This window comes from Homo sapiens, chromosome 19, assembly GCF_000001405.40.
Source record: "Homo sapiens chromosome 19, GRCh38.p14 Primary Assembly".
NCBI classification, from domain to species: Eukaryota; Metazoa; Chordata; class Mammalia; order Primates; family Hominidae; genus Homo; species Homo sapiens.
The window spans coordinates 46377487-46404660 of record NC_000019.10 but is presented as its reverse complement, the minus strand read 5'-3'; the positions used below and the strand labels follow the sequence as shown (position 1 = coordinate 46404660).

The 27174-nt window shown below is 50.9% G+C and overlaps 1 protein-coding gene and 1 long non-coding RNA gene across 4 annotated transcripts in view, besides 3 other annotated features; one reads left to right on the top strand and one right to left on the bottom strand.

The window, feature by feature from the left end:
- Positions 423–27174, top strand: PPP5C-AS1 (PPP5C antisense RNA 1). Of its 2 annotated transcripts, none has more exons than XR_007067275.1 (2): positions 423–826; positions 22137–27174. It is a non-coding gene; the product is annotated as a PPP5C antisense RNA 1 (long non-coding RNA). The 2 variants fall into 2 exon arrangements; XR_936001.3 differs by lacking the exon at positions 22137–27174 and adding an exon at positions 11028–13860.
- Positions 514–1221: an enhancer, noted in NCBI's record as "H3K4me1 hESC enhancer chr19:46906697-46907404 (GRCh37/hg19 assembly coordinates)". NCBI's record gives its function as "activates a minimal SCP1, AML or CMV promoter by ChIP-STARR-seq in primed H9 embryonic stem cells {active_cell/tissue: H9 hESC(primed)}" and the evidence as "EXISTENCE:reporter gene assay evidence [ECO:0000049][PMID:30033119]".
- Positions 10446–10946: an enhancer, noted in NCBI's record as "H3K4me1 hESC enhancer chr19:46896972-46897472 (GRCh37/hg19 assembly coordinates)". NCBI's record gives its function as "activates a minimal SCP1, AML or CMV promoter by ChIP-STARR-seq in naive H9 embryonic stem cells {active_cell/tissue: H9 hESC(naive)}" and the evidence as "EXISTENCE:reporter gene assay evidence [ECO:0000049][PMID:30033119]".
- The window catches only part of PPP5C (protein phosphatase 5 catalytic subunit), a 43889-nt gene continuing 30400 nt past the window's right edge, over positions 13686–27174 (bottom strand). Inside the window, exons 5-13 of one of the 2 annotated variants that reach the window (NM_006247.4) lie at positions 21185–21250; positions 20783–20881; positions 19752–19857; positions 17426–17568; positions 17208–17295; positions 16213–16253; positions 15930–16108; positions 14529–14610; positions 13686–14377 (exon numbers count right to left, since the gene is read on the bottom strand). In NM_006247.4, coding sequence (NP_006238.1) covers positions 14315–14377; positions 14529–14610; positions 15930–16108; positions 16213–16253; positions 17208–17295; positions 17426–17568; positions 19752–19857; positions 20783–20881; positions 21185–21250 — 867 coding nt within the window. In that variant the 3' untranslated portion in view covers positions 13686–14314. The remainder of the gene's footprint in view (positions 14378–14528; positions 14611–15929; positions 16109–16212; positions 16254–17207; positions 17296–17425; positions 17569–19751; positions 19858–20782; positions 20882–21184; positions 21251–27174) is intronic. The other variant, NM_001204284.2, reaches the window with a different exon arrangement.
- Positions 20992–21893: an enhancer, noted in NCBI's record as "H3K4me1 hESC enhancer chr19:46886025-46886926 (GRCh37/hg19 assembly coordinates)". NCBI's record gives its function as "activates a minimal SCP1, AML or CMV promoter by ChIP-STARR-seq in primed H9 embryonic stem cells {active_cell/tissue: H9 hESC(primed)}" and the evidence as "EXISTENCE:reporter gene assay evidence [ECO:0000049][PMID:30033119]".

The window sequence follows — 27174 nt, the reverse complement described above, 5'->3', positions numbered from 1 at the left end:
AGGCATCTGCCGGCCGCAACCCCTCACCTCCTTGGGGTCTTTGGCACCTTCTCAGTGAGGGCTTTCCATGCCGCCCCGTTTACGATGACTGCAAACCCTCTCCTGCCCCGGCCCTCCTGGGGCCCTGCCTGCCAGACTTTTGTCCCCAGCAGGCCTCACTTCCTAATGCGTGGATCTCCTCCTCATGTAGGAGGCGTACCCCCTGCCTCCCCACCGCATGCTCGCTCCAGGAGGTTCCTGTTTCTTGCACCTAGAACAGGGCCTGGGACGCCCCGGGACCCTTCCTTGCGAGACCTCAGGGCCTTTACGCGGCCACTCCTTCGATCTCAAACGCTCCTCCCCACTTCCTGGGCGCACTCCCTCCAGGGGGCGTATCTTTCCAGCACATTCCCAACTAGGCGCATCTGGGGTCAGCCTTCCTCAGTCCGGGTGGTTTCTTCCGACCGACCGTCAGCACTCGACAAATAACTGAGCAGCTGCTGGGGCCGGGAACACCGCGGGGACAGGTCAGAGCTGACCCTGAGCGACTCTACTGCCTCTCCCCGCCACGCCCACCTGCCCCCTGCGGGGTAGGACCCCGCAACCACCACTCCAGAGTCCTCTGCAGGGACTGCTGTTGCTACGGGAGAGGAAGCCAGAGGAAGGGGACGCCATCTGGGGGATGCTTGGGCCGTGGTGGCTGCAGAAGCAGCAGCAGCAGTGACGGCCACCGCCGCCAACCAGGGGCTTCTCCCTGGCCAGCGCAGCCACCTGGGCTCCGGGCAGCAGCATTTTCCACGTGGCTCCTCCAATCCTCACGAGACAGCAGCTCCCTGCATTGCTAATGGTGAGCCCACCTGACTTGCTACTCTCAGCCCTTCCTGATTGCAATGTCTGTGTCACCAATTTCCTCTATTAACCTTCCTGACAAGTCGGCGTGCTATTGAGAAACAAATGAGTGAACCAGGGCAATCAGAGCTCCGAAAAATAAAGCGAGCAAGTGCAGAAAAGGTCACTTTTTTTTTTTCTTTTTGAGACGGGGTCTTGCTCTGTCACCCAGGCTGGAGTGCAGTGGCACGATCTCAGCTCACTGCCCCTCTGCCTCCCGGGTTCAAGCGATTCTCGTGCCTCAGCCTCCCGAGTAGCTGGGATTACAGGCGCGCGCCACCACGCGTGGCTAATTTTTGTGTATTTTAATAGAGACGGAGTTTCTCCATGTTGGCCAGGCTGGTCTCGAACTCCTGACCTTAAGTGATCCACCCGCCTCGGCCTCCCAAAGTGCTGGGATTACAGGCGTGAGCCACCGAGCCAGGCTAGGGTTTGTTTGTTTGTTTGTTTTTGAGATGCAGTTTCGCTCTTGTTGCCCAGGCTGGAGTGCAGTGGCGCGATCTCCGCTCACCGCGATCTCCGCTCACCGCAATCTCCACCTTCTGGATTCAAGCGATTCTCCTGCTTCAGCCTTCTGAGTAGCTGGGATTACAGGCATGCACCACCACGCCCGGCTAATTTTATATTTTTAGTAGAGACGGGGTTTCTCCGTGTTGTTCAGGCTGGTCTTGAACTTCCAACCTCAGGTGATCCGCCCGCTTCAGCCTCCCAAAGTGCTGGGATTACAGGGGTGAGCCACTGCGCCCAGCCTGGGTTACATTTTTATAGGTGGTCAGGGAAGCCCTCCCTGGGAATGTGACATTTGAAGAAAGAGAACAGCAGTGCAAAGGCCCTGAGGCAGGAATATGCCTGGTGTGACCCGGAGACCTGGGTGGCTGAAGCCACGGGGGGAGACACAGAGAGGGAGGTGGGAAACAAGGCAGGGGGTGAGATGGAGGCGGAGTGTGTAGACCTGAGCTGTGCAAGAGAACTGCGTGCGATGGTGGCAGTGTCCTGCACCAGCACTGCGTGATGTGGTAGCCACTGGCCACGTGTGGCTCTTGAGCACTTGCGATGTAGCTACTGTGACTTCAGGATGTGGATGTTTAATTGTATTTAGTTACATTGAAATTAAAATATCCCCATGTCAGTAGTGGCTGCTGCACTGAACAGGTCCAGACCCTGTTATAAGGACTCTGGCTTTGACCTTTAGTGACATAGGAAGCCATAAGAGGATTTGAAGAGAAGAGGAGTCATTCGATGGGACTCAACTTCTTGGTCAAACCAAGTCATAAGGCTAGTCTGGATTCAAGCGGAAGGGAAATAGACTTCACCTCTTGACGGGGGGAGGTACCAGGGGCATACGGGGAAGGGAAGAATTGACAGCGGCTGTTTTTTGGAGACAATGAGCCACGTTGCGCCCCCTGGCGGCAGCTGGGAAAAGAGGTCCGGAGTCTAAGTTTGACTCGGGAATGGACACAACTTTTTCTTTCTTCTTTTCTTTTCTCTTTTCTTTTCCTTTGCTTTTATTTTCTTTTTTCTTATTCCTTCATTTCCTTCCTTTCCCTTCCTTCCTTCCTTCCTCCCTCCCTCCCTTCCTTCCTTCCTTCCTCCCTTCCTCCCTTCCTTTCTTGACGGAGTCTCGCTCTGTCGCCCAGGCTGGAGTGCAGTGGCACAATCTCAGCTCACTGCAACCTCCGCCTTCTGGTTTCAAGTGATTCTCCTACCTCAGCCTCCTGAGTAGCTGGGATTACAGGCTCCCGCCACCTCACCCAGCTAATTTTTTGTATTTTTAGTAGAGACGAGGTTTCACCATGTTGGCCAGGCTGGTCTCGAACTCCTGACCTCGTGATCTGCGTGCCTCGGCCTCCCAAAGTGCTGCGATTACAGGCGTGAGCCAACTTATTAGTATCTCTGTCCTCGGGATCCCACTTCAGAATCGCCCAGGACTCAGATGTGGAATGGACACTTTAGTGGCCTGCAGATGGCAGCAGGGGGGGTTCACTATTTGTAACACAAAAAGGGATTTAAATAGTGCCTGCAGGGTCCAGTCTCCCAATTTAAACTTTGGCATTTGTGGTTTCAAACTCACAGAATCTGAACGGTTGCCCCAAAAGACCGATGTCTTGATTCCAAATCAGCCTCTATCTGACAGGCCCAGCTGCCACCCGCTGCCACAAAAAAACAAGTTCAGGGGAACAGTTTGGTTTTTTGTTTGTTTGTTTTTGAGAAGGAGTCTCGCTTTGTCACCCAGGCTGGAGGGCAGTGAAGCGATCTCGGTTCACTGCAACCTTTGCCTCCCGGGCTCAAGCGATTCTTCTGCCCTCGGCCTCCCTAATGGCTGGGATTACAGGCTCCTGCCACCACACCTGGCTAATTTTTGTATTTTTAGTAGAGACGGGGTTTCACCATGTTGGCCTGGCTGGTCTTGAACTCCTGATCTCAAGTGATCCACCTGCCTTGGCCTCCCAAAGTGCTGGGATTACAGGGGTGAGCCACCGCCCCCAGCCTCACTCTTTACTACGGGCAGATTCGTCATAGCCTTGGGGGTTGAACTCTGTAATTCTCACAGCAGCCCAGGGATGCAGCTTCTATTATTATCATCCCCATTATATAGATGAGGAACCTGTGGCTTAAGGAATTGAGGGACCTCTCCAGGGTCACAAGGCATGGTGGAGACAGAGGCAGGGGCCTTAGCCAGGGCAGGACACAGAGGCAGAGGCCTCAAATGGCAGGATGAAGAAATGGAATGCCTTCCTATGAGAAGGAGGGAAGTAATGGAAGGGAAGGGAGAATAAGGGCCTATTTATCAATGAGGATAGGTCAGGCTTTACGTTTGCATCCAAGCTTCAGGGGAACCTTGAAGTCTTGGAGTTCTTTTTTCTTTTTTTTTTTTTTTTTTTGAGACGGAGTCTCGCTCTGTCACCAGGTTGGAGTGCAGTGGTGCAATCTCAGCTCACTGCAACCTCCAGCTCCCTGGTTCCAGTGATTCTCTTGCCTCAGCCTCCGAGTAGCTGAGATTACAGGCACGTGTCACCATGCCCGGCTAATTTTTGTATTTTTAGTAGAGACGGGGTTTCACCATATTGGCCAGGGTGGTCTTGATCTCCTGACCTCGTGATCCACCCACCTCGGCCTCCCAAAGTGCTGGGATTACAGGCGTGAGCCACTGCGCCTGGCTGGACGTTTTTACTTTAAGAAGTCCCTGAAGGATGCAGACTAGGGGGCTATTAGAAAGAACAGTTGCCCAGGCGCAGTGGCTCATGCCTATAATTCCAGCACTTTGGGAGGCTGAGGCAGGAGGATGGCTTGAGCTCAGGAGTGAGAAAAGACTGGGCAACATGGTGAAACCCTGTCTCTACAAAAAATTAGTCGGGCGTGGTGGCATGTGTTCCCAGCTATTCAGGAGGCTGAGGTGGGAGGAGATAGCTTGAGCCCAGGAGATGGAGGCTGCAGTTAGCTGAGATCGTGCTACTGCACTCCAACCCGAGTGACAGAGCAAGACCCTGTCTCAAAAAAAAAAAAAAAAAAAAAAAAGAAAAAAGAAAAAAAAGAAGGAAGGCAAGAGAAAGAAAGAAAGATCCTTACAGGCCTGCCTAGAAAAAAATGTCCAGATAATAATAAGGAAAAAAATGATAGAAATACATATGTAGAATGAGTCCATTTTGGTTAAATAAATAAATTTATAAAACTAACATTTATCGCCTGCTAAGACATGCCAGGGATTGTCTGAATGTTTTTGTTCGTTTGTTTTTGAGAGGGAGTCTCGCTCTGTCGCCCAGGCTGGAGTGCAGTGGCACGATCTCGGCTCACTGCAAGCTCCGCCTCCCGGGTTCACGCCATTCTCCTGCCTCAGCCTCCCGAGTAGCTGGGACTACAGGCGCCCGCCACCACGCCCGGCCTGTCTGAATGTTTTCTATGGGCTTTGTCACTAATCCCACAACTGTTAACTATTCCCGTTTTACAGGCGCAGAGGTCGCACAATGCCCAAGGATGGCAAAGTGAGGTGGCAAACCTAGGTCTTCTGACTCCAGAGCCCAGGCTCTCAACCCCTGTGCCCTGGTGCAGGTGGCTCTGGACTTGCTTGGTGCACCAGACCTTAGTAATTCAGTCATTTTTTCCATAGCGCCCCCAAAGAAATACCTAACAGTTCCATTCTCATCTGGTGAGGTCTAAACAACCTAAGCTCTTATGTCCTAAGAAGTTAGTAGCCATTTGAAAATATGTAGAGCTAAGGAGTTTGAGATCAGCCTGGGCAACATAGCGAGACCTTGTCTTTATTAACATAAAAAATGAAAATATATAGACACATAAATTGAAAGAAAACAATTTTTTTTTTACTTCATTCTTAACCGTATTTCCTTACTAAGGGGAACGTGTGTGCTTGTTAGGCACTGCACCAGTTCTCAAAACCCTGGGAACAGACTGAACACCGCCACCCTCAGTTCCTGGTTGGCATTGATTTTCTGGTGGGACTTGCCTTTTATCCCTGCAACCAATGAAAATGCAGGTTGGGGCCAGGCGCGGTGGCGCACGCCTGTAATCCCAGCTACTCGGGAGGGTGAGGCAGGAGAATTGCTTGAACCCGGGAGGCGGAGGTTGCAGTGAGCCGAGATCCCGCCACTGCACTCCAGCCTGGGCGACAGAGTGAGACTCTGTCTGGGGAAAAAAAAAAAACAAAAAAAAAAAACCACAGACAGCATATGTCCACTCCTGTGAACCATTCGATTTGGAATCATTTGGCACCTTCATCAATAGGGTGTTGGGGTTGGGCACTATGGGACTTTTTTTAAATTATACTTTAAGTTTTAGGGTACATGTGCACAACGTGCAGGTTTGTTACATATGTATACGGGACATTTTTAAATGTTTTATTTATGGGTGTAGTAAAGATCCCATGGAGATCGAGATCTTGTACAAATATCCATCCTCATCTGTACATTTTTTAAAACAGGATAGGAACATTACAAGAAATAGCCCGTTTCATTAAATCTTCTGTTGTAGGAGTTTGCACATGTATGGCTTTTTGTAAAGCGGGTACTGAGACAACTTCAACAGTGGTTTTGAAAGATTAATCTGAATTTTCATAGGTTCAGCATTTTTTATTTTGCCCACATCTGTGGAAGAAGAGGCCCATACAGTGTCAGGGATCTCAGAGAGATCCATAAAAATCTATGTATGTATGTATGTATGTATGTATGTATGTATCTATCTATCTATCTATCTATCTATCTATCTATCTATTTTTTTTTTTTTGAGACAGTATTTTGGCTGTTGCCCAGGCTGGAATGCAGTGATGCGATCTCAGCTCACTGCAACCTCCGCCTCCTGGGTTCAAGAGATTCTCCTGCCTCAGCCTCTGGAGTAGCCGGGATTACAGGCTCCCACCACCATGCCCGGCTAATTTTTGTATTTTTAGTGGAGATGGGGTTTCGCCATATTGGCCAGGCTGGTCTTGAACTCCTGACCTCAAGTGATCCGCCCTGCCTTGGCATCCCAAAGTGCTGGGATTACAGGCATGAGCCACTGTGCCTGGCTGACACTGGGAATTTGAGATGGAGTCTCGGTGTATTGCCAGGCTGGAGTGCAGTGCAGAGGCACGATCTCGGCTTACTGCAATCTCCACCTCCTGGGTTCAAGAGATTCTCCTGCCTCAGCCTCTGGAATAGCTGGGATTACAGGTTCCTGCCACCATGCCCGGCTAATTTTTGTATTCTTAGTAGAGATGGGGTTTCGCCATATTGGCCAGGCTGGTCTTGAACTCCTGACCTCAAGTGATCCGCCCTGCCTTGGCCTCCCAAAATGCTGGGATTACAGGTGTGAGCCACCGCGCCCGGCCATAGTTCTTAAACATATAAGCAGGTAGAGTTCTAGATGGAGAATACTGGGATGTTCTGAATGCACCCTGGCCTTCGTTTCCTCTGAGACTCTGCCAAATAAGCTATGGGGTGTCTAGCCAGGGGGTTACCATTCTAGGATGCAGGGAAACACAGATCCTCCTCCATTATTGAACAGGAAAGAATGACTTACCCGAGCTCAAACTCAGACAGACAAATAGAAACAAACAGAATCGGCCCCTTTTGTGTGACAAACGGAGAGCTCAAAGGTGAAGAGAAGGAAGCTCAGATCCGAAAAAGACTTATCCCAAACCCCTTGGTTAGCAAGAAAGTAGTGAACACAGCTGGCTGTGTGGGTGCCCATGCCTGGTTACTCCCTGCAGTCAGGGCTCCTTGGGATCTTCTTTGAATCTCACTTCTAATTCCCCCAAAATGTCCAGAATAAAATAGGCTCCAATTAGGGGGGGGAAAAAAAAGTTTATTGTCATGCAAAAAGCACGAATTGTCATCCAGGAGACTTCAATCTGAGCGGTAAGCAACTCAGAGGCAGGCTGGTGTAGGATGGCTTAGAAAGCAAAAACCAGCCGGGCACAGTGGCTCACGCCTGTAATCCCAGCACTCTGGGAGGCCGAGCCAGGCAGATCACGAGGTCAGGAGTTCGAGACTAGCCTAGCCAACATAGTGAAACCCCATCTCTACTAAAAATACACAAAATTAGCCAGGCATGGTGGCGGGTGCCTGTAGTCCCAGCTACTCAGGAGGCTGAGGCAGGAGAATCGCTTGAACCCAGGAGGCAGAGGTTGCAGTGAATGGAGATTGCACCACTGCACTCCAGCCTGGGCGACAAGAGTGAGACTCCATCTCAAAAAAAAAAAAAAAAAAAAAAAAAAGGCCAGGCGCGGTGGCTCACGCCTGTAATCCTAGCACTTTGGGAGACCAAGGCGGGTGGATCATGAGGTCAGGAGATCGAGACCATCCTGGGTAACACAGTGAAACCTTGTCTCTACTAAAAATACAAAACATTAGTCAGGCGTGGTGGCGGGCACCTGTAGTCCCAGCTACTCGGGAGGCTGAGGCAGGAGAATGGCGTGAACCCGGGAGGCGGAGCTTGCAGTGAGCCAAGATCGCACCACTGCACTCCAACCTGGGCGACAGAGCGAGACTCCATCTCAAAAAAAAAAAAAAAAAAAAAAAAGCAAAAACCAGGAGGTGGCTTCACCTTCACGATGACCGACTATGATGGTGGGGGCTTCCATATGACAAGGGATCGGTTAAAAGTGATTGTCTTACATCCTTTTGGAAGGCGATTTCAGCTTTGTTTATGATTCTCAGCAGCATTTATTTACAGGGAATAAGCTAAGTTTCACTCACATTCAGAAGTCAAACTAGATTAAGTTGTGTTTACATGGCCTAACTGCTTTTGTCTGCTTTGGGGAATTCTCAGTCCTGGTCTCCATTTTTAAAAAATTATTTATTTTTTGAGATGGAGTCTTGCTCTGTCACCCAGGCTGGCACGATCTCCGATCACTGCAACCTCCACCTCCCGGGTTCAAGCAATTCTCCTGCTTCAGCCTCCCGAGTAACTGAGATTACAGGCACCCGCCACCACACCTTAATTTGTTCTTTGACAATTTTAGTAGAGATCGGGTCTCACCATGTTGGCCAGGCTGGTCTCGAACTCCTGACCTCAGGTCATCCGCCCACCTCGGCCTCCCAAAGTGCTGGGATTACAGGCGTGAGCCACCACGCCCGGCCCATGTTATTTTATTTTAACACAGATAACTAACTGTCTTTGAGTTAGAGACAGGACTTTGGGGCCCAAAAGGGGCAGGAACTCCAAGGGGCTAAGAGAGGGGAGGCTGGGCCCACAGAGGAGGTCTGGAGGGGAGTGTCCACCATGCTATTTGAGAATCCAGCAGGCAGGGCCTTAAGAGCAGCTCCACGCTCCAAAAAGAGAGAAACTGCCCCAAATGGGCCATCAGGACAGCTCTGGGAAAGGGGCCCCAAAAAAACTCCTTTAAACATCCCTGTTTCACTGACAGGAAGACTTCGGCCCAGATTGGAGGGGAAACAGAGAAGCGTAAGCCTCAAATAGTTAGAATGGTAGCTGAGACCAAATTTTGAGCATTGGAAATGTTTGCATACCATACAAAGAAAATTAGAAAAATATATGGGGATTGGCAAAAAGGCACCCTCTTTCCCCAACACTTTGCCGCCATCTGCTGGAAGAGTGTTGTAATGACTATAAAACACCGTGGTGTTACAGCGCCCCCTAGCGCCATACAGTGGACAATCACAGAACAGTTACAAGAGAAATTTTTTTTTTTTTTTTTTTTTTTTTTTTGAGACGGAGTCCCGCTCTGTAGCCCAGGCTGGAATACAGTGGCGCCATCTCGGCTCACTGCAACCTCCGCCTCCTGGGTCCTGGTTCAAGCAATTCTCCTGCCTCAGCCTCCTGAGTAGCTGGGATTACAGGCACGTGCCACCATGCCCGGCTAATTTTTTTGTATTTTTAGTGGAGACGGGGTTTCACCATGTTGGCCAGGCTGGTGTTACACTCCTGACCTCGTGATCTGCCCGCCGCGGCCTCCCAAAATGCTGAGATTACAGGCGTGAGCCACCACACCCGGTGGAGAAATCTTAAAAAGACCGCTAACAAAAATGCTTTGAGGCCGGGCGCAGTGGCTCACACCTGTAATCCCAGCACTTTGGGCAGCCGAGGCGGGCAGATCACTTGAGGTCAGGAGTTCGAGACCAGCCTGACTAACATGGGGAAACCCCGTCTCTACTAAAAATACAAAAATTAGCTGGGCGTGGTGGCACACGCCTGTAATCCCAGCTACTTACGAGGCTTGAACCCAGGAGGGGGAGGGGAGGCTTCAGTGAGCGAGATTGCGCCACTGCACTCCAACCTGGGCGACAGAGCAAGACTCCATCTCAGGAAAAAAAAAAAAAAAAAAAAAAAAAAAGCTTTGAGAATGCACAGCTCTGGGGGAAGTCATGAGTTTTCTCTTCAGGGGTAAGGTTAGGGAACACCCATGTACTAAAAAGGGAAAAATCAGATTAACCAGCAGGATAAATTCTTGCCATCATAAAATTTTTGTTTGCTAAAAGGGGTCAAAAGCTTTTCCCCAAATATTATTTTAGCATTTGGCATCAAAGGTTTTATTATCTCCCACCGAATATGCTCTATCCTCCTTCCTAGTTGTGTGTCCTCAGGTATATTGCTGCTTCTGTGCCTCAGTTTCCTCATCTGTAAAATGGGGCTGTTGCGAGGACCCAAAGTGCCTGTAAACTGCCTGACACATAAAGTGCTCAATGCTACTGCAAACTGGCTCAGGGCACAGACTCTGCAGCCAGTCAGCTGGTGCTCAAGTCCCGTTCTGCCATTTGCTGGCTGTGTGACTCTGAGCATGTAACTTAACCTCTCTGTACTTCTTATCTTGCTTATCTGTAAAATGGGCATCTGAAAAGTGTCTGACTCACTGAGTTAGAATGAAATGTTAATGCGTGTAAACTCTTAGAACAGAGCCAAGGGGCCGGGCATGGAAAATCACCCTGCTGCTCTTCGACTCATCTGAGATGGGTGCCCACCCTGCCCCTCCTGGTCCCCTCAGGTTTTAACTGCTTCCACCCATTTTCCAGTGTCCAAATTCCTCAACCTGTTTCCCCCCATCCGCTGGACCACGGAGATGAGAGCCATGGGAGGGTGTGGGCAGAGGGAACCATGGGCCCAGTTTCTCCATCTGTGGTGCTGGCCGGGAGGGGAGGGGTGGTGGCCTCTGTCCCTCTGGCTGCCAAGCAACTGACACCCCCCACAGGTGGGAGGCAGGGGCCCCACCCGGTGCTATGGAGGTTAGGTCATCTTTCTGCCTTCCCTGGTGGCCAGAGCTTGGGTCTGTGATCTAATCATGGCCATTGACAGATGGGGGTGGGGAAAGACAGCGTGAAAGGGTCCAAGAGAACGACAGGGAGACAGAACTCGGGTCCTTCCTGCCTTGGAGTCTCTGTTCCATCCAGCTGGGCAGATGCCTGGGTCCATCCTGGTCGATGGGGTGGGGAGCACCTAAGACCCCCGCTCCCCCCGGTTCTCTGGTCTTCCCTTCACAGCTTCCTTTGTCAGTGGCGAGGCTTCTTAGGACCCCTAATTCATGTCCATGACTCCTGGGAGTCCACATCTGCTCCTGCCAGACCCTGAGACTCCCCAGCAGCCTCTGACACCATTGCTTAGTGTCCACACCTGCCCCCAGCCCCCAGCATCTCCCCCACCTCCGTGTGCCTGGCACGTCCCCAGCGTGATGACCCTGATCCAAACTGTAACTAGAGTGGTGTCCCCTATTTTAGCAGACTCCTGTGCTCAAGCGATCCACATGACTCGGCCTCCCCAAGTGCTGGGATCACAGGCGTGAGCCCCCGTGCCCGGCCAGCCCTGGATGTTCATCACCTGCGTCTATGGGCATCTCTCCGTCACACTCCCTTTTGGAAGTTACTGTTTCTTTTTGGTCAATTCATTGCCTCTAACTTCAGAGCCCTACTCACGTGTATTTATCCCCCTTGATTCCCCAAAACTTATCGGCTTACCCAGACCTTCCCCCATTAAATGCTTTCCCTCCCTCCCATGGCCCTTCCGTTTTCCCGAGCCCAGCTCTGTGGCGTTGATCTGCTCAAAGTTTTGGTACTTGTGGTGGGTGTGCCTGAGTCTCTTTGTTCTGACTTTACTGAGACATTGATCGCCGTAAAGGTCCCATCTCTTGCAGCATCTTCTGAATTTCTCTTCTCGTTTAAAAACTTCCTCCAATATCCACTTGGAAAAAGATAAAATTAGATCCATTCCTCACATCACATACAAGAAGGAACTCCAAATAGACTGGAGATCTTGACATAAAGAAGAAAACTGTACAAAAACCAGAAGAAACCCGAGGGAACTTCCCTGAAACCCGGGTGTAGGGAGAAGTACTGACTCCCACGCCAGCACAATTAAAGAAATACTGATACATTTGGCTTCATAAAAATAAACTTGTACTGTGGCAACAAACCACAAGTGAAGTCTAAAGATAAAAGACAGTCTGGGATATATACTTTCAAATGGTTAAGGTGGTACAGTTTATGTTATGTGCTTTTTACCACAATTTAACAAAAAAGGACAGAATGGGGGAAAATGATCTGCAACATACATCACGAGCATGGGGCCTCTGCTGTGTCCCCTCCGCAGCACTCCCTCTGGAGAACCCAGCCAGACCCGACAGGGAGGAGACGGCAGCCAGTCAGGGAGCACTCTTCAGACACGGGGAGCGGGAGGAACGTGATCATCACAAACGTCCATGTCAAAGACAAAGCGGGGCTGAGGAAATGTTCCAGATTGAAGGAAATGAAAGAGACAATTGAATGTGTGGCAGGACATTGCTGAGGCAAGAGCTACAGCTGGAATGCAGTTGGTTGACTTAAATATAAACATTTAATGCTCCCTTGAGGGACCCTGCTGCCACGTTGAGAGAAGCTCAGGCCACATGGAAGCCACACGCAGGCGTTCCAGTGCCAGCCCAGCTAACAGCCCACAGCAACTGCCGTCACGGGAGTGAGCCCCCACGGAGTCCAGCCGGGCGAGTCTTCAGATGCCTCCAGCCCCAAATGCCCCCGACCACAAATGCCTCAGCCCTCAGGTGCGCCCTGCACGGCCAAGCCCAGCCAATCACAGAACTGAGGAAGACAGCAAGGCATTCGTTGTTGAAGCTGAGGGGGTGGGGGGGGTTAGGGTGTTTGTTATGCAGCTGTGCAGCATGGCTGCAGCCCTGACGGAAGAAAAGGCTGGCTCCTGGGAGGTCACCGGAGAGCCCTCGGTGTGTCCTACCTCATAGGAGCGTCTCTTTATCTGGGGCCCTGGGCCACAGTGGACAGTCTATGCTAAGGATGTGATTTAGGGTGGGGGCCGTGGGTCTCTCTGGAGGCTACGGTCAGCCACGCGGGGTGAGCAGTCCCCATGACCAACCCCTGAAGAAAACCTTGGATGCAGAGGCCCGGGTGAGCTTCCCTAGGTGGCCACACTCCAGCACGCTGTCGCATCCATGCGGGGAAAATAAGCGCTGTCCACACAGCTCCACGGGAGAGGGCAGTGGGACGCTTGCGCCTGCCTCTTCCCTCCTCTCATTCTCATCCCCATATTCTTGCTATAATAGGCCCTCACTGTGAGGATAATGACCATACCGGGTCCTGGGAGACCTCCTGAACTGCAGCGGCAGGGAACCCCGACACCCAGTGAGTCTGAGAGCCTCACAGCTGCCCGCCTGGCTGACTCCCATCAGGTCTGAAGCACCCTCCCGACAGTCATGGTGGCTGTTTTTGTCTTTCCCAGGAGAAATGAATGGCACTGGCAACCTGGGCCTCGTGCCTGTTTTCCTGAAGCCATGTGTACTTGGCTTCTGGACCGTGGCGCACCTGACCCCAGAAGGCGGTGCACTTACTGTAAGGCTGATGGGCCTTAGAGAACACCTCCCCAGCGCCTACGCGCAATCAGGACCGCGGACGCCTCATGTCTGCCTGGGAGGTCTCCAAAGGGCCAAACACTCCCGGACTCGGCCCTGCAGGAGTCATTTGCTGTAGACCATCCCCCAGTGCCACATACCACTGGAGAAAGCTGAGTCCAGAGGAGCTCAAACTTGAAAACACAATCTCTCTGGAGGGTCAAGGCCTGGCAGGGCAGCCTGAATGGAATCCAACGTTACCTGTGACTAAGAGCCAACTGGGAGTGAGACAAGGGTCCTCTGGTCTCCCTGGATGACGGGAGATGCGCGCCTCATCGTGTGATGTCAAGAACCACTGCTGGGCCTACCCTGAGCAGGGAGCAGGGAGCGGCACTGTCATGCTTGTTGCTGGAGCCAGCAAAGGATGAGGCTATGCCTCAGCTTCCGCTCCGCTCCACTCAGTGCTGGCCTCATCGCCCCACCCAGGGGGCAGAACTCTCCCCAGGAGCCCACGGTGCTGGGCAGAGGCAGAGGCCACTTGGGCGGTCAGCCCAGAGCTGGGTGGGCCCGGCCAGCGGGACTTTGCGGCCTCCCCACCCTCCGGATCTCCTGAGCAGGCGTAACCCAACCCGGGCAGCTCCTTCGGCTCCACCATCCAGAGACAAGCTGACTTCCGATAATGACTTTATTTTAACATATTTAATTACAGACATAAAATAGCTGGGGAGGGGGGTGAGCCCCAGCCTAGCCCCACCATGGGGCTATAGGAGGGGAGGCGCAGGCGGGGCCCCCCTGCTGACCCTCTCTCTGGGGGTCTTCCTATGGCGGGGCCCTATTGCTTGAGTGGGGGAGGAGCCATGCAAATGAGGGGGGCAGGGCAGCCACTCGGCCCCACCCCACCCCGAGGACGGCCTCCCCACAGAATGCCCAGGCTGTGCCCCCAGCCCCAGCTGCTCCACCTCCTTCCTCTCTGTCCAGGGAGCAGACCCTCTGGCCAGCCCCTGACTCTGCCCCTACCCCCTCTGCAAACCTAAAGGGGAATAAATACAAACTTTACAAAGTAAAAGGGGGTCCAACATTGCCCTGGGGCGGGGCCTGCTCTGCCCCTAGCCCAGGGCCTGGGTCCGGTGGGATTGGAGGGGCCCTGGGATGCAGGCCGCCCCGCCCGTCACCTCACATCATTCCTAGCTGCAGCAGCGTGTTGGCATAGGCCATGGGCTTGACGTTGGGATGAGGCTGTGGGACCAGGGCAGGTGGGATGGACAGAAGTCAGAACAGAGCCCCTGAGCACCCACCGGCAGAACCTACCCCTGCCCCTTACCAGGGTCTCAGCCTCCTTGTCCCCAGGCCGGGATGGAAGGGGCAGGGGCCCTGAGGGGTGACTCACCACTGCTGTGAACTGGTGGAACTGAGGCCGTAGGTCAGAGCCCTGGAGGTGGATGTAGGAGGCTTTGTTCCCCATCTGGTCGCTGCAGGGACAGGAGCAGAGTGGACAGTGTGGTCAGGGCTGGGTGGGGCTGGTGGGTTAAGAGAAGGAATGGCTGGGCAAGAAGGGACAGAGGGAGAGGGAGGGACAGAGCCACAACAGACACAGATGGACAGAGAGACAGAGATGGGAAAGACGAATCCAGGGGAAAGAATGGGAGGGGCAGGAGGATGGGGATGGGGAAAAGAGGGTGGGAGTGCAGGAAGCAGGAGCAGGAAGGGGCAGGGCATAGCTCATGGAGGTGGATGCTCGCCAGACCCCACTAGGAATCTGACCACGCTTCTAGCTTTGCCCACCCAGAGATGCAGGGAACAGAGGAACATGTCACACGGCACCACGGGGATGCAGTCAGCCTAGTCCAGGACACAGGTGACTCGTACAGCAGGCAGCAACCTATTCTTCAACAAATAAATGATGCGGGTGGGGAGAGACAGGGAACTCACAGGCAAAGAGACTGAAAATGTGGTCCTTGTTTAGGTCCTGTCTGGAAGAAGTCAGCTGGAAAAGACACTTAGGAGAGACCAGGAGAAAGAGAACTTGGCAGGATTCGGGTGGGGGCAAGGGATCAACACTGTGTGTGTGTGTGTGTGTGTGTGTGTGTGTGTGTGTGTGTGTGTGTGTGTGTGTGTGTGTGTGTGTGTGTGTGTGTGTGTGTGTGTGTGTGTGTGTGTTTTGAGATGGAGTCTTACTCTTGCCCGTGTGCGTGTGTTTTGAGATGGAGTCTTACTCTTCCCCAGGCTGGAGTGCAGTGGTGCAATCTCAGCTCACTGCAACCTCTACCTCCCGGGTTCGAACAATTCTCCTGACTCAGCCTCCTGAGTAGCTGGGATTACGGGTGTGTGCCACCACGCCCTGCTAATTTTTGTATTTTTAGTAGAGATGGGGTTTCACCATGTTGGCCAGGCTGGTCTCAAACTCCTGACCTCAGGTGATCCGCCCACCTCGGCCTCCCAAAGTGCTGGGATTATAGGCGTGAGCCACCATGCCCAGCCAGCACTCAAAAGTGTAAACACGATATTGTGGTTAAGAAAAAGATCCCTTTCCTTCTGAAAAGTGCTGGGCAATCAGTGGGAGAAAGGTGAAGTGCCAGGGGCTTGCTGTAACACAGGGCAGCTGGTCAGCACTCACAGGCTGGCCCCACTGGTGCTGCATGGGTGGGTGACACATACGGGGGTGTTCGTCATGTTCTTTTATCTGCTCTTGCCTGTCTTTGAAATGTTCCATCATAAAAAGGCAAAACAAAAACCAAGACAAAAACCCGTGGCTTGGTAGAGGCCCTGGGCTGGAAAGGCAAAGACATACCAGTAGTTGGGGGCAGAGAAGACGGTGACACAGCGGCCTCCGTGAGCCACCTCGTAGCCCTCGGCCTTGACTTCGTGGCTGCGGATGATATAGTCCAGGTTGTTCTCTTCCAAGAAGGCCTTGGTGACGTCAGGCCCAAACTGACAGCTCACGCCCCGCTTGCTGATCGAGCGCCCGTTCTGAGGGTGGGCAGAAGGGAGAGACAGGGGTTCAGGGTGACTGTCTGCCTCCACCTGCTGCCACAGCCCACACCCGCCGGCCCTGCACCCCACCCTAGACTCACCTGTGGCTGTGGATCTGACCAGAGCAGGTCACACATGGGCCCTGGTGGGGAGCGAGGGAAACATTAGGGACTCGTCCACCTCCCCGGGGGTGGTCACTCACAGGCCACCTCCTGGCCCGGCCAGGTGCTGACCCCACAGCCCAGCCTGGGTGGGTGTTGGGCAGGGGACATCCAGCATGGACATGGACATTCAGGACAGGTGACTGTGATTCTGAGCCACCCCCACCCTCTCTGCTGATCTGCCCTCCAGACCCCATTCAATCCCCTGTGGCCCCGAAGCCAGATAGAGCTTTCAATGTCACTATTCAGATCAGGCCCCTCTCCCACTCAAAGCCTTTGGTGGCTCCGCACTGCCCTAGGAACAAAGTTCCTCACTGGGGCCTGTAAAGCGCCATAGGATTTGGGCCCAGTGAACCCCATGTCCAATGTCAGCCCTCAAAGCACAGCCCTGCCCACTCGCCAACTTCTCCCTGCCTTAGGACCCCTCCTCAAGCCTGGAATATGCTCGCCAGGCTCTGTGCACGGCAGATGCCTCTGCTTCCCGCAGTGTCAGCTCAAACCTCGCCTCCCTGGAGAGGCCTTCCTGAGCACCCAGCACCAGCCCACCCAATCCATGTCCTCTGCAGCACTCACAGTGTGCACGTGCGTGTGCACCTGTGGGTGAACTCTCTGAAGTGTGCCCGTCACTAGCACAGGAGCCCCAAGACCTCCCCTCCTTCCAGGGTTCCACAGCTGAACTCACAAATAAATAAGGACAGGTGTGCTCGGCGGTCACCGTGCCTTCACCCCGCACCATGGTCACGACCGTGCTTGCCATCACAGCCCCATGAAGGAGGTGCACTGGCCCAAGTCGCAGGTGAGGAAACTGAGGCTCAGACCCGCTGTTTCTTGCCAAGGGCACAAAGCCCATCCTCCGAGGCAGGGCTGGGTTGCAGGGGAGAGCTCAGCCCAGGCTGCCCCTTTCTGCTGGAGACACCTGGCCCCGCGCTGCTCACCTGAATCTGGGGGTTGTCGATTCCGCTCAATTTTCCGGATGTCATCCAGGGTGACACCGTCTTCACTGAACAGGCCTCCGTGCATGATCTGGGGAGATGGGGGATGCCGCTGTGAGGGAAGGTGCCACCCACCCACAGGCCCCAACTTCCTTCACCAGCACATCTGCCCAGGTGTGGCTGGGTGGGGAACCCACACTCAGGGCTCGCGCCGTCCTCACCAGCACTTTGCCGTTGATGCACTGGGCCAACGGGAGCCACTCGAACACCTCGCTAAAGAGCTCGTACATCTGGGCTGTGTACTTGGCCTTCACCTCACCCTCGAAACCGTAGATCTGGTTCATGTTGTCTGTCTCGTGGTTGCCTGGCCAACACGGGGACAGAAGAGAAAGCTCAGCCTCCAGGTACATCAGTGTCCTCCAGCCTGGCACCCTCAAGGCCCAGAACTGTGCATGCGTCCCTTGCCCCCATGGGCCTCGCACTTGCCACTGCGGTGCCTTCCAGACTGGAGGTACCAAGGGGGGAATCTTGACAAAAAGTAGGTCCATGGCTAAGCACCATGGCTCACGCCTATAATTCCAGCACTTTGGGAAGCCAAGGCAGAACTGCTTGAGCCCAGCAATTTGAGACCAGCCTGGGCAATATACTGAGACCTCTCTATAAAACAATTTTAAAAATTAGCTGGGCATGGTGGTGCGTGCCTATAGTGCCAGCTACTTGGGAGGCTGAGGCCAGAGGATCACTTGAGCCCACGAAGCAGAGGCTGCAGTGAGCTATGCTCATGCTACTGCACTCCAGCCTGGGCAACAGAGCAAAGCAAGACCGTCTCAAAACCAAAAAGTAGGCCCATCTACAGAACATGTGCCCCAGCCCACCCCACCCTGAGCTCCATCCTTCTGTCTCAGACACAAGCACCCGGCCTCCTTCTTCCCTTCCAGAGCTTGGGGGCAAGGAGAAGGCTGCCCAGTCTCGCATCTGCTCAGACTCTGCTTGTCTGACTTCTCGGCCTGAGCACTTGTTGCCTCCTGCAACGAGGCCCACAGTCGGGCTTCCTGAGCTTTGACCCTGTGCTGGACACTGCTGCGTGAACCCTGTGAGCCCAGGGACACGGGCATGCAGGCTTCGCCCCAGCCTATCACTCACCTCCCAACTCACCCCGGCCCCGCCATGGGCAGGGCCTCCCCTGTGTGGCCCTCACATCCCAGTGAGCTCCTCTTGTCTAATCTCATCTGGACACCAAGAAACCTACATTTTCAACACCCCTTGGAACCCCACCCACATCCCATGTCTCCTGAGTCTCAGCCACATCCAAAGGGGAGCTCCTCAGCTCCTGGCCACACCCTGCTCTACATGTTCCCGTCTTCGTCACTGGCAGCCATAGCCCTCCAGATACTCCGGCCAAAACCCTAGAGGGCCCCTTTCGTTCCCTCTTTGTCTCACACCTGTGTCTGTTCCTCCAGCAAATACTCTGGGCTCTACTTCCAAGTTTCTTACTTTTTTTTTTTTTTTCAAAGAGACAGGGTCTTGCTCTGTTGCCCACGCTGGAGTGCAGCGGTGTGATCATGGCTCACTGCAGCCTTACACTCCTGGGCTCAAGCAATCCTTCCACTTTGGCCACCCAAGAAGCTGGGACTACGGGTGCACGGTGCCACCATGCCTGGCTTTTTTTTTTTTTTTTAGACTGAGTCTCACTCTATCGACTAGGCTGGAGTGCAGTGGCGCAATCTCGGCTCATTGCAACATGTGCCTCCTGGGTTCAAGCGATTCTCCTGCCTCAGCCTCCCAGGCAGCTGGGATTACAGGCGTGTACCACCATGCCCGGCTAATTTTTGTATTTTTAGTAGAGACGGGGTTTCACCACATTGGACAGGCTGGTTTCGAACTCTTGACCTCAGATGATCCACCTGCCTTGGCCTCCCAAAATGCTGGGATTACAGGCATGAGCCACTGCGCCTGGCCTTTTTAAAAAATGTTTACTGGAGACAAAGTCTCACTGTGTTGCCCAGGCTGGTCTCAAACTCCTGGGCTGAAGTGATCCTCCTACCTGGGCCTTCCAAAGTGCTGGGATTACAGGTGTGAACCAGCACACTCAGCTCCGGGCTCTACTTCAATCAAGAGAACCCAAATCTGACACCAAGCCTGAATCTGAGGGGGCACAACTGCCTCGTCAACAGTCTCCTTACTCCCACCCTCGAGCCCTGGTCTGTTCACTCAGTCACTCAGCTTTAGTGCCAGATTTAGGGCCACCCAGGAGCCTGTTTCATGCCCTTGTGCAAATTAGAATAAGGGGCCCATCCTCACACCCTTGTTTGCCATCTGCTGAAAAATGGTCAGAGTAAACATCCATTTCTACACTATCTATGATGTAAACGCGTCCTTTGGTGTGATGCTTTTGTGCAGTGCACTACATACTCAATCTTAAAAGGTCGCCCTGTGCATGATCTCCGAGTCCACAAAATAAATACAGCTGCAACTATTATCCTTGCAGAGTGAGTGCCCCACTCAGGACCCCACAATGAACCCAAACCTTGTCACTTCCCAGCTCACCTCGAAGGAGGTGAAAGTGATCTGGGTACAGGAGCTTGAAGCCGAAAAGGGTGAGGATCACTTCTACAGAGAAGGAGCCTCGGTCCACAAAGTCACCATTAAATATCTGTCCTGCTGAGGAAAACATGGCAAGCGTGGAGGGGAAGGGTGCGGTGCGGTGGGGTTGGGGGTGGTGGCAGAAGATGGGCCAGATGGGCTGCTCCTGCCTGGCCTCAAGCCTCCTGTCAGCACCTCCCAGGGAGTGAGGACTTGGCAGGGCTCAAGGGATCTGGGTTTCTAATCCTTTCCTCACCGTGGCTCCAGCCAGAGCTTGGCCGCTGAGCCTCAGTAGTATGGCACTGAGGACCCTGCCTCCTGTCTCCCGGAAAGCCAGTGGCGGGGAGGTGCGGGGACTAGTCAGTCCACCTCCTTCAGCTCTCCTCAGAGAGGCCTGGAGCCATGGGGGAGATGGGACACGGGCCCTCCCACTCAACAATGCATAGGCCTAGTGGCCCTACAAGTGGCCGTTCATCGAGCAGATACCATAACACGGGGAAATACTTAGATAGCATCAGGTGTGGGCCAGGCCCTGTTCTTAACCTGTCCTCTCAGTAACTGCTGAGTAACAAGGTTGCACATATTATTATCCCTCTTTGCAAATGGGGAAACTGTGACACCAAGCAGTGAAGTAACCTGCTTCGGTCACACAGCTGGGAAGTGGCAAAGCCAGGATGGAACCCAAGTGTGGCCAGTGCCAGGTGCCATTCAAATGTGATCCTGAGGCAGACGAAGACAAGCCAAGACCCAGAGAGACTGAGCTACCAGCTTAGGTCACACAGCAGGTGGGTGCTGGCCCAGGCCTGTCCGAGCCTGGAGCCTGGGGTGCATGGCCAGCCTGCAGCTCCACCCACACCTTGGTGCCCCAGCATGGCCAGGCCTCTCCTTTCCAAGGTCACGTCTTTTCCTGGCAAGGGCTCCTCCCACTCTGTGCAGACCTGAGGCTGCGGCTGGGGGTGGAGGTGGGGAGAGGGTGGCTCTGCTGAGAAGGATACATAGGGGTTGGTCTCCGAGGGTAAACCGTTGAGCTCGAATATGTTGAGGAGGTCATAGAACTGGCCATGGGTGTCCCCACATACTGTAATCTTCTCTGTCTGAAAGAAAAGAGGCCACCGGAGAGGGACGGGCCGAGAGAGAGACGTGGGGAGGGGGCAGAGGTGAGGGGAAGGGTAAGAGTTCACAGTAGACCAAGAAGAATCATGCAAGAGACACAAGCAGGGAACACAAACGAAGACCAAGAGGCCAGGAGAGAAATGGGATATTCAGGAGGAAAGGCACAGGGGTGGGGTGTGAGGGAGAGAGGGAGGTGGATCCGTGAGTTCCTGAGCTCTGTGGCCCCTCCCCAGCCAGAGAGCCCACCCCCGCTGGCCCTCCCCGCACTGCCCCACAACGCGCACCTCTTTGAGTGTGGTTTCCACGAGCGTGCTCAGCTTGGAGAGGACCTCTTTGACCTGTACCAGAATCTGGAAGGCAGGGCAGACTCAGTGGGACCGGCTGCAGGGGCTGCTGCCCAACCTGGCCCCGAAAGCCTGGACTGCCCATGAGACGCTGCTGGGCTGAGGGCGAGGGAGAAGCAGGGAGAGAAGAAAAAGGGCAGGGCAGGCCTGGGGGAGCGGGAGCAGGCGGGGCCGGAGGCAGCCGCAGGCTTCTGTGGCCTGTGCAGTGCCGAAGCATTGCGATTGTTTTGTACGAAAACCTGATTCTTGAATTATCTTAAAATACTCAGCATCAAGTGGAAATACATGCATGAATCCAGATCGTAGAACATTTTATAAAAGAACTGGCCTGGACACAGCGCAATGTCACTGTCATAAAAGAGTCTCCCAAAAAAGAAGTGAGACTTTCTAGGTAAAAAGAGGTAAAAAGGCAGGTCATAGGCAACACTGGTGCTTTCAACGGACGCTGAATTTTTTAAAAGCAGCTAAAAAGGATGTTTTGGGGAGAGCTGGGGAGAATTAAAATACTAATAGATGTCTAGAAATGCAGATGATTTATTTTTCACAGATTGGATATGACCTTGACAATGACATGCATATTTGTCAATGTTTCCAGATTTTCCGGATGGCCTGTGGACTGTCTACCTTAGTCAGTATTATCACATCAATGATGAATTTCTAAGGTAGGACAATTCAACTGTGGTCACACAAGAGGACGTCTTTGTTTTTGGGAGATCCAGGTTATGATGGCTGCAACTTACTTTCAAATGGGTTAGGGGAAAAAAAAGAAAAAAGTATACACATACAAATGCATAAATAAGTAGACAGACACATAAAGTTAATGCATTAAAATGTTCACAAGTGGTGAATCTGTGTGAAGGGTGGACAGATGTTAACTGTACTGTTCTTTCAGCTCTCTGTAGGTCTGACGATTTCCAAAATAAGCTGGGGAAAAAGGTGTTAAGAAAATGCAGGCGGCATCCACTTCTAGTCAGAAGGTAGAAAAGTTACAAAAGACTGTCTCGCCCTAAAGATGAAAACAAGCCAAACAAGCAACAAAATCAAAGGTAAAGCCATCTGAGAGCTGGCAATGCAAAGGGACCTAAATTAATCAAAATGCAGACAGGACGAGCCCTTCCTTGGGGAAGGAGCCCACAGCTTTCACCCTGGTGCGAGGCAGCAGGGCGGGATGCCCTGCGTGAGGGGAAATGAGTGGAAGTTCATGACCGTGTGGGGACTGGCGTGACAGATGAGGACTCCAGGGAGCCCCAGCACAGCCCGCCTCTGCCCCCTGCCAACTCCCTCACACGGGCTTCATGGAAGGTTGGGCGCGAGGGAGTGAGGTGCAGAGAAACCTCCTGAGGTACAGAAGTGGGGGCGAGACTGGAGAGCGGAGAGCACCCCAGTGGCCCCACAGTCTGGCGGCAGGGCTGAATACCAGAGGCCTCCCACAGTTCCAAAAGCTGGCGACTTTAAAACATAAAGACATCCCTGGAATTCTGCCAGGGCTAAGATCCCAAGCTCTGCTGAAGGGAAAGTCCTAATTCTACTCTGAACACATTTAAAGCCGGTGGTAAAGAAACTCCAATAAAAGCTGCCCCTAAACTACAGATGAGGTTCACACAGCCCCTCCCTCTTGTGGCTCAACAGGAGAAATGTGTGCCATTTTCTTATTTGTTTATTTGTTTTAAGACAGGGTCTCACTCTGTCACCCAGGCTGGAGTGCAGTGGCTCGAACACAGTTCACTGCAGCCTCAACCTCCCAGGTTCAGGTGATCCTCCCCACTCAGCCTCCCAAGTAGCTAGGACTACAGGTGCCAACCACCATGCCTGGCTAATTTTTGTATTTTTTTTGTAGAGGTGGGGTTTCTACAAGTTGCCCAGGCTGGTCTTGAACTACTGGGCTCAAGCGATCTGCCCACCTTGGCCTCCCAAAGTGCTAGGATTACAGGCCTGAGCCATGGTGCCCAGCCTAAGTGTGCCATTTTCTGAGGAAAAACTTTATTTACCTCAGTCTCTAATGTTCTTTTATACAAAATAGCTGGCATACAATAAAATTGTAAAACACATGAAGAACTGGTAACAGAGCAGACTCAGAGATGAACCAGATGATGGAACTATCAGACAGAGACGTTAAGATAACCATGGTAAATGTGTGAAAGGACTTGGTGGAAAAGGTGGACAACATGCATGAACACATGAGACACAGAGATGAAAAGTCTATTAAAAAAAACACAACTAAATGAAAATGCTACCAATAAAAAATACAATGTAAGAAATAAATAATTCATTTGTTGGGCTTGACAGCAGTTACAAAGAATCAGTGAACATAAGGACAACTGAAATTATCTGAACTGAAATACATAGAGGAAAAATCGTGAAAAGAATTAAAAAAATTCAGGTCATTAAGATCTAAGGAATAGTATCAAATAGTATCAAAGAGCATGTTATTAGCTTTCCAGACGGAGAGGAGAGCAGAAATGGGAAGAAATATAAGAAATAATGGCTAAGAACTTTCCAAAACTAATGAAAGATATTAACCCACAGACTCAAAAAAAGCACATCAAAGCCCATCATAGTCAAACTACTAAAACCCAAAGGCAACATCTTAAAACCAGTGAAGAAAAAAGCAGACTATATAGAACAAAGATATGAATGATTGCTGAGTTCTCACAGAAACAATGGAGGTCAAAAGGCAATGGGAAAAAAACACATTTAAAGCCTTGAAAGAAACAATGTCAACCTAGAACTCTACATCCAGCAAAGACACCCCTAAAAATGAAGACAAAATAAAAACATTTTCAGGCAGACCAAAGCTGAGAGAATTAGTCTACAGCAGACGTGCACTGTAAGAAATGCTAAAAGTACTCAGGCAGAAGGGGCATGATACCAGATAGAAACTCACATATGGAAGAAGAAACAAGGAGTAAGAGAAAGGGTAAATATAAAAGACATTTTCTGTGTATTCATACGTGTATTTCTTTAGAAGACTAGTGTCTATTTAAGGAAATGACAACAATGTATTTATAGCAGATGCATAAGCATGACAAGAGCACAAAGGCTGGGAGAAAATAAAAGCAATCACAATATTGTAAGATTCTTTTTTTTTTTTTCTTTTGAGATGGAGTCTCGCTCTGTTGCCCAGGCTGGAGTGCAGTGGCACGACCTTGGCTCACTGCAACCTCCACCTCCTGGGTTCAAGTGATTCTTCTGCCTCAGCCTCTCGAGCAGCTGGGATTAGAAGTGTGTGCCACCATGCCTGGCTAATTTTTGTATTTTTAGTAGAGACAGGGTTGTAGAGATGGGGTTTTTGCCATGTTGACCAGGCTAGTCTGGAACTCCTGACCCCAAGTGATTCACCTGCCTCGGCCTCCGAAACTGCTGGGATTACAGGCATGAGCCACTGCCCCAGGCCATAAGATTCTTATATTGTCCATTAAGTATCATATTATTATTTGAAAGTAGAATAGGACAAGTTAAAGTTACACATTGTAATCTTTGGAGCAGCCTTTTTCATCCAGGGTTCCGGGAAATGATTAAGCCCCACAAAAAATATTTTCAGTGATATCTGCTCAGTTCTCCCAAGGAGAGCACACAGATTCACAGGAGAGGAGTTAATTCACTGCGGATATAATGGATGCCTAAGGGAGTTAGGGCTTAATTCTCTCTATAGAGCCTCAGCTGAGAAGGGCTGCTCTAGAGCAACCATGTAACACTCCACCCCTCGCCACACACATTCAAAAGTATAACAAAAAATTCAATAAAACAGATGAAATGCTAAAAGATTCCTGATTCACACAAAAGAAAGTCAAAGAAGGAGAAACAAGGGGGAAAAAAACAAATGGGACATATAGAAAAGAGACATCTAGACAGTAGATTGAAATGCAATCATATGATTGCTGATAGTTAAACATAAATGAACTAAACACTCCAATTAAAAGGTAAAGATTGGCTGGGAATGGTGGCTGACACCTGTAATTCCAGCACTTTAGGAGGCCGAGGTGGGTGGATTATCTGAGGTCAGGAGTTTGAGACCAACTTGACCAACATGGTGAAACACTGTCTCTATTAAAAATACAAAAATCAGGCCAGGCATGGTGGCTCATGCCTGTAATTCCAGCACTTTGGGAGGCTGAGGCAGGTGGATCACGAGGTCAAGAGATCGAGGCCATCCTGGCCAACATGGTACAATCCCATCTCTACTAAAAATACAGAAGTTAGCTGGGCATGGTGGTGCACACCTGTAGTCCCAGCTACTCGGGAGGCTGAGGCAGGAGAATCACTTGAATCTGGGACACAGAGGTTGCAGTGAGCTGAGATTGCGCCACTGCACTCTACCCTGGTGACAGAATGAGACTCCGTCTCAAAAAACAAAACGAAACAAAAATTAGTTGGGTATAGTGGCGTGTGCCTGTAATCCTAGCTACTCTGGAGGCTGAGGCAGGAGAATTGCTTGAATCCAGGAGGCAGAAGTTGCAGTGAGCCAAGATCACACCATTGCACTCCAACCTGGGCAACAAGAGCGAAATTCCACCTCAAAAAAAAAAAGGTAAAGATTGTCCAACTGGATAAAAAGGCAAGACCCAAGTATATGCTGTTTATAAGAAAAACATTTTAAATATAAAGATACCAATGGGTTAAATACAAAAGGGTAGAAAAGTTATAGCATGCAAATATTAACTGTAAAAATCTGGTTTAACTATTTTAATAGAAAACAGGGATTTCAAGCCAAAAAGTACTGAAGTCACTTCATTATAATGAGTCAATTCATCAAGAAAGCATAACAATCCTAAATGTGTGCCTAATAAAAATTTCAAAATACAGGAAGCAAAAAACTGAGAATTATAGGGAGAAATAGGCAAATCTACAAGTATAGTCGGAGCTTTTAACAGCCCCCTCAATAAATGATTGAGCAATTAGAAAAAATAGGCTATAAAAGATTTTTAACAGCAGTCTCAACCATCTTGAACTAATTGACATTTATAGAGCCCTATGACTAACGACTGCAAAATACACACTATTTTCCAGTACATACTGCATGTTTGCCAAGACAGATCTAAAAATAGCCCCAATGGAATCATCCAGAGTGTGTTGTCTGACCAAATTAGAAATCAGTAACAGTAACATCTAGAAGTCCCCAAATATTTGGGAGTTAAACAATACCCTTCTCAATAATCTATGGATAAAATCAGAAACCATAAAGAAAATTAGAAAACAATTCTAACTCAATGATAATGAAAATACGACGTATTAAAATTCACGGGACGCAGCTAACTTACTGCCTGGAAGGAAATTTAGTTTTAAATGCTTTGTGTGGAAGAAAAGATGTAAAATTAACAGCATTAATGTCCATCTTCAGAAGCCAGAAGAAAGCAAATTAAACCTCAAGCATGCATAGAGAATAATGAATGAAAAATCAATGAAACAAAAGACAATCAATAGAGAAATTCAACATGAACAATGAAAACATGTTCACAAAAAGACTTGTCCAAGAAGTTCATAGCAGCTTATACTTATAAAAGCTACAAAGTAGAAATAACCCAAATGTCTCTCAAAAGAAGACTGCATAAACAAGTCATGGGCTGTTCAGACAATGGAGGACTTGAGCTACCGATATACACAACATCCATGTATGAATCCCACACACATTGTGCCACATGAAAGAAGAGACACTAAACGCTGTAAGCCCATATGACATTGAAATGAAATTCAAAACCAGGCAGAATTAATTTACAGTGGTGAAAAATCAGATCAGTGGTTGCCCCTGGGATGGGAGTGAGGGCTGACTAGAAAGGGGTCAAAGGGAGCTTTCTGGTTGATGGAAATGTTCTGTAACTTGTTTGGGCAGTGGGCACATAAAACTCTAAAAACTCATCTAACAGGACACTTCAGATTTGTGTATTTTATTGTGCATTAATTATACTTCAATTAAAAACAACCAGGAATGTGGA